This window comes from Homo sapiens, chromosome 19, assembly GCF_000001405.40.
Source record: "Homo sapiens chromosome 19, GRCh38.p14 Primary Assembly".
Lineage (NCBI taxonomy): Eukaryota > Metazoa > Chordata > Mammalia > Primates > Hominidae > Homo > Homo sapiens.
In genome coordinates, this window is record NC_000019.10 from 9068989 (window position 1) to 9074988 (window position 6000).

General features: G+C 48.7%; 3 annotated features.

Moving 5' to 3' along the window:
- Window positions 386-1320: an enhancer, noted in NCBI's record as "OCT4-NANOG-H3K27ac hESC enhancer chr19:9180050-9180984 (GRCh37/hg19 assembly coordinates)". NCBI's record gives its function as "activates a minimal SCP1, AML or CMV promoter by ChIP-STARR-seq in naive H9 embryonic stem cells {active_cell/tissue: H9 hESC(naive)}" and the evidence as "EXISTENCE:reporter gene assay evidence [ECO:0000049][PMID:30033119]".
- Window positions 1321-2254: an enhancer, noted in NCBI's record as "OCT4-NANOG-H3K27ac hESC enhancer chr19:9180985-9181918 (GRCh37/hg19 assembly coordinates)". NCBI's record gives its function as "activates a minimal SCP1, AML or CMV promoter by ChIP-STARR-seq in naive H9 embryonic stem cells {active_cell/tissue: H9 hESC(naive)}" and the evidence as "EXISTENCE:reporter gene assay evidence [ECO:0000049][PMID:30033119]".
- Window positions 5113-6000: an enhancer, noted in NCBI's record as "H3K27ac-H3K4me1 hESC enhancer chr19:9184777-9185664 (GRCh37/hg19 assembly coordinates)". NCBI's record gives its function as "activates a minimal SCP1, AML or CMV promoter by ChIP-STARR-seq in primed H9 embryonic stem cells {active_cell/tissue: H9 hESC(primed)}" and the evidence as "EXISTENCE:reporter gene assay evidence [ECO:0000049][PMID:30033119]".

Below are 6000 nucleotides of genomic sequence, written 5' to 3' on the forward strand. Positions count from 1 at the left end.
AAATTTAAAAATAAACAATTGTCCACCAGGTTCCTCTTTCTTTTTCTTTTCTTTTCCATTTTTTTTTTTTTTTTTTTTTTTTGAGACAGGGTCTCACTCTGTTCCTCAGGCTGGAGTGCAGTGGTGCAATCATAGCTCTCTGCAGCCTCAAACTCTTGGGCCCAAGCAATCCACCTGCCTCAGTCTCCTGAGTAACTGGGACTACAGGCATGTACCACCGTGCCCAGCTGATTTATACTTTTTTGTTTTGTAGAGACTGGGTCTGGATATGTTGCCCAGGGTTTTTGTTTTTTTTTATGTGGGGGTGGGTGGGTGGGGGGTGAGGACCGAGCCTTGCTCTGACACCCAGGTTTGAGTATAGTGGTGTGATCTTGGCTCACTGCAACCTCCGCCTCCCGGGTTCAAGTAATTTTCATGCCTAGCCTCCCAAGTAGCTGGGACTACAGGTGCTCGCCACCACACCTGGCTAATTTTTTTTTTTGTATTTCTAATAGAGACAAGGTTTCACCATGTTGGCCAGGCTGGTCTCAAACTCCTGAGTTCAGGTGATCTGCCTGCCTTAGCCTCCCAGAGTATTGGGATTACAGGTGTGAGTTCGGCTCCAGGCTGGATCTTGAATTCCTGGGCTCAAGCCATCCTTCTGCCTCAGCCTCCCAGAATGCTGGGATTACAAAGCTTGAGACAGCACCTTGGCCACCAGGCTCCTCTTTTCTTTTTTCTTTTTTTTTTTTTTTGAGACGGAGTCTCGCTGTGTCACCCAGGCTAGAGTGCAGTGGTGCGATCTCGGCTCACCGCAACCTCTGTCTCCTGGGTTCAAGCGATTCTCCTGCCTCAGCCACCTGAGTAGCTGGGACTATAGCCGCACACCACCAAGCCTGGCTAATTTTTGTATTGTTAGTAGAGACGGGGTTTCACCATGTTGGGCAGGCTGGTCTTGAACTCCTGACCTCGTGGTCTGCCCACCTTGGCCTCTCAAAGTGCTGGGATTACAGATGTGAGGCACTGCTCCTGGCCAGGTTCCTCTTTTCAAAGGCAGCTCCCGGGGGCACGGCTGACTTGTGTCTGGTAACTTTTTTTTTTTTTAAGGAAAACCATCTAGTTTTTTGGGAAAACCAGACTCAGAGCTCAGAGGATCTGAGCAGAGATTTAGGCTCCTGGGTCCTCCAGCTCCTTGAACCCACGGGGAATCCAGCAGCGGTTGCTCCCTTCCCCCCTAAGGAATGCAGGAACCCTGCCCAGAAGTGGCATTAGTAACTGAGCTCTCCCTTTGTCCCTAAGCTGCCATTCCATTGTCTTCCCCCAGTGATCACGGAAAAGGTCCTGGAGGGTGGAGGAGAGGTGCTCAGAATGGAGGAGGAGGAGGGGTGTTGGGACTGCTCAGCTCCTGCTGAAGTAAACACCTGCTCTGTGTTCCATAAGCTGGGACCCCAGGGTCAGGCCAAAGGGAAATGGATACCCCGGGTTTGGGTGGTCGCCACAAATTCTAATGCATGTACTACCTACATCATAGCCGCCCCCCCACCAAATAAGCCCAGTGATTAAGCGTACAGTTTCTGGAGCCTGGTGCCAGAGTTTGAAACCTCCTTTTTTTTTTTTTTTGGAGACAAGGTCTTACTCTGTCGCCCAGGCTGGAGTGCAGTGGCACGATCTCGGCTCACTGCAACCTCCACCTCCCAGGTTCAAGCGATTCTCCTGCCTCAGCCTCCCTAGTAGCTGGGATTACAGGCACCCCCCACTGTGCCCACCTAATTTTTGTATTTTTAGTAGAGACGGGGTTTTACCATGTTGGCCAGGCTGGTCTTGAACTTCTGACCTCAGGTGATCCACCCGCCTCAGCCTCCCAAAGTGCTAGGATTACAGGCTTCAACCACCACGCCCGGCCTAATTTTTTTTTTTTTTTTTTTTGAGACAGTTTCGCTCTTGTCACCCAGGTTAGACTGCAATGGCACAGTCTCGGCTCACCTCAAACTCCACCTCCCAGATTCAAGCGATTCTCCTGCCTCAGCCTCCGGAGTAGCTGGGATTACAGGCGTGCACCACGACGCCCAGATAATTTTTGTATTTTTAGTAGAGACGGGGTTTCACCATGTTGGTCAGACTGGTCTTGAACTCCCGACCTCAGGTGACCAGCCCTCCTTGGCCTCCCAAAGTGCTGGGATTACAGGCGTGAGCCACCACACCCGGCCCTCTTTAAAGTTCTAAAATGCTTCTAACCTTTAAGCTGTCCTTGTTCATTCCTGGGCTTAGGCCAAACTAACTTTGGGAAGGAATTCAGCTGATGGTTTGACTCTGAAACAAAACTGATAACAGCCCTTTCCCTAAAAGACCCACTTCTTGCCTGGGAACCAGTCTGCCTTTGCAGGACTAACAAATTAGCTACAAGATTAGAAATTACAGTTTAGGAGTCATGCAGCCTCTGGGTCCAAGAGTCTGAACGTCCCCAGATTGCTCCCAGAGGTAGCATCACTATTGTAAAACCTAAAATCAGTGCTTGAGATAGTTTGCAGACCCTGCACTCGATGGATCAGCTGACACCACCCAGACCATCAGACCAGACCAGTCAAGATCGCACCATTGCACTCCAGCCTGGGCAACAAGAGTGAAACCCCATCTCAGAAAAAAAAAAAAAAAAAAAAAAAAAAAAAAAGAAGGAAAAGAAAGAAACTCTACACTTCCTGTCCTTATTCCTGGGAATTTATTTAACAATTTAATTTCTCACCATACCCGAGGGAAGGCACAGCCTATTGCAAAGTCATTTTGCACGAAAGCAAACTGGGGCTCAGAGAACCAGGCCTCCAGTCAGTGCTGGTGTCATGGACAACCAGGCTGAGGGCCCATGGCAGAACCTGTTTTATGACATGGCTGCTCTCCCTGAAGCCAGTGAGGCACAAAGCCTAGGGGAGTGGACAAGGGACAGGAAGGTGTGGGTTTCCATCCTGCTGTGTGACCTTGGGGAAGTCACCTAACCTCTCTGAGCCTCATTTTTCTTTCTTTTTTCTTATTTATTTATTTTGAGACAGAGTCTCGCTCTGTCGCCCAGGCCAGAGTGCAGTGGCGCAATCTCAGCTCACTGCAAGCTCCGTCTCCCAGGTTCAAGTGATTCTCCTGCCTCAGCCTCCCGAGTAGCTGGGATTACAAGCGCGTGCCACCACGCCTGGCTAATTTTTGTATTTTTAATACAGATGGGGTTTCTCCATATTGGTCAGGATGGTCTCGAACTCCTGACCTCGTGATTTGCCCACCTCAGCTTCCCAAAGTGCTGGGATTACAGGCATGAGCCACCGTGCCCAGCCTTCTTGTTTTTAGTTTTTTTTTTTTTAATGAAAAAAAAAGTATTATTATGGCCGGGCACGGTGGCTCACGCCCGTAATCCCAGCACTTTGGGAGGCCAAGGTGGGTGGATCACCTGAGGTTAGGAGTTGGAGACCAGCCTGACCAACATGGCAAAACCTCATCTCTACTATAAATACAAAAATTAGCTGGGCATGGTGTCGCATGTGTGTAATCCCACCTACTTGGGAGGCTGAGGCAGGAGAATCGCTTGAACCCGGGAGGCAGAGGTTGCAGTGAGCTGAGATTGTGCCACTGCACCCCAGCCTGGGCAACAGAGAGAGACTCTGTCTCAAAAACAAAACAAAACAAAACAAAAACCAGAAGAGATGTGTGGTGCATGTAAAATACACATGAGATGAGATTTTGAAGACTGATTTTGAAAAAAAGAATGTAAAATGTCTTGGCCATAACTTTCATCAGAATTACTTGATTTGTATTTAAATATCATGGCATTTAGTTTATGGGGGATTTTTTTGTTTTAATTTATCTTTTTTCTTTTTTTCCAGCAAATGCTTAACATCCAAAGTTTATGGTTATATGTTTGAGATGGGATCTCATTCTGTCGCCCAGGCTGGGGTGCAGTGGCTCACTGCAGCCTCTACCTCCTGGGTTCAAGCCATCCTCCCACCTCAGCCTCCCAAGTAGCTGGGACTATATAGGTATGTGCCATCACGTTTGACTAATTTTTAAATTTTTTTGTAGAAGCCGGGTGCAGTGGCAAATGCCTGTAATCCCAGCACTTTGGGAGGCCGAGGCGGGCGGATCACCTGAGGTCAGGAGTTTGAGACCAGCCTGGCCGACATGGTGAAACTCCGTCTCTACCAAAAATACAAAATTAGCTGGGGGTGGTGGCGCGCGCCTGTAATCCCAGCTACTTGGGAGGCTGAGACAGGAAAATCTCTTGAACCTGGGAGACAGAGATTGCAATGAGCCAAGATTGTGCCACTGCACTCCAGCCTGGACGACAAAGTGAGACTCTGTCTAAAAAAAAAAAAAAAAAAAAGTTTTCTGTAGACACCGAATCTCACTATATATGTTCCCCAGGATGAACTTGAAGTCCTGGGCTCAAGTGATCCTCCCATCTCAGCCTCCCAAAGTGCTGGGATTACAGGTGTGAGCCACCGCGCCCGACCCATAGATGCTTGTTAAGGGAAAATCCCAGCACTTTAGGAGGCCAAGGAGGGTGGATCACCTGAAGTCAGGAGTTCGAGACCAGCCTGGCCAATATGGTGAAACCCCATCTCTACAAAAAATACAAAAATTAGCTGGGCTTTTTGGCTGGTGCTTGCAATCCTTGAGAGGCTGAGGCAGGAGAATCACTTGCCTGTAGTCTTAGCTACTTGGGAGGCTGAGGTGGGAGGATTTGCTTGAACCCAGGAGTTCAAGGCTGCAGTCAGCTATGATAGCGCCACTGTACTTCAACCTGGGCAACAGAGGGAGACCTGGTCCCTTAAAAAAAAAAAGACATTTCTCAAGAGGGCCTTCTACCTTCCTTCCTTCCCTTTGAAAAACCTAGGAGGGAGTTACAGATGTTATTGTTCACCAGCTGTATCCTAAGGAATTCAGGTTCGTCCTAAAGGAAAATGCCTTTTCCCCTTTCCTCACCTCGTTTTAGATACTCTCTGGAGGATTTTCCTCAGATTCTCGCTGAAACCTGACTCTCTCCTGGTAATGCAAATATTCCTGGGCTCTCTATGGGAAAGCTGCGGCCCTGTGCCTGACCCCAGGGCACTGGGAGAGAAAGTCTTTCCGGGCCGCAAGGTGTCATAGGAAAGGGGTCCCAATCCAAACCCCAAGAGAGGGCTCTTGGATCTCAGGCAAGTCTGTAAAGTGAAAGCAAGTTTTTAGGAAAGTAAAGGAATAAAAGAATGGCTACTCCATAGACAGAGCAGCCCCAAGGGCTGCTGGTTGCCCATTTTTATGGTTATTTCTTGATAATATGCTAAAGAAGGGGAGGATTATTCATGCCTCACCTTTTTAGAGCATCTGGGGTAACTTCCTGGTGTCGCCATGGCATCTGTAAACTGTCATGGTGTTACTGGTAGAAGGTGTCCAGGTTCTTGGCATCCCAAACAAAGAATTGGACAAAACACACCAACAAAGCAAAAGCAAGGAAGGCAGAAGCAGGGATTTTTTTTTTTTTTTTTTTTTTTTGAGACGGAGTCTTCCTCTGTCATCCAGGCTGGAGTGCAATGGTGCAATCTTGGCTCACCGCAACCTCCGCCTCCCGGGTTCAAGTGATTCTCGTGCCTCAGCCTTCCGAGCAGCTGAGATTATAGGCATGCACCCCCATGCCCGGCTAATTTTGTATTTTTTTTTAGTAGAGTCGGGGTTTCTCCATGTTGGTTAGGCTGGTCTCGAACTCCCAACCTCAGGTGAACTCCCGACCTCAGGTGATCCGGCTGCCTCGGCCTCCCAAAGTGCTGGGATTACAGGTGTGAGCCACCGCGCCCCAGCCAGAGGCAGGGATTTATTGAGAATGAAAGCACACTCCACAGTGTGGGAGTGGGCTGGAGCATAGGGGCTCAAAGTCCCCATTACAGAATTTTTCGGAGTTTAAATACCCTTTACTTGGGGTACGCCCTATGTAAATGGAGAGGATGAAGTAAGGTTACAGTCATTGACTTGGCTTCCGCCCTTCCTGCCATAGGTGAAGTGTGAATCGAC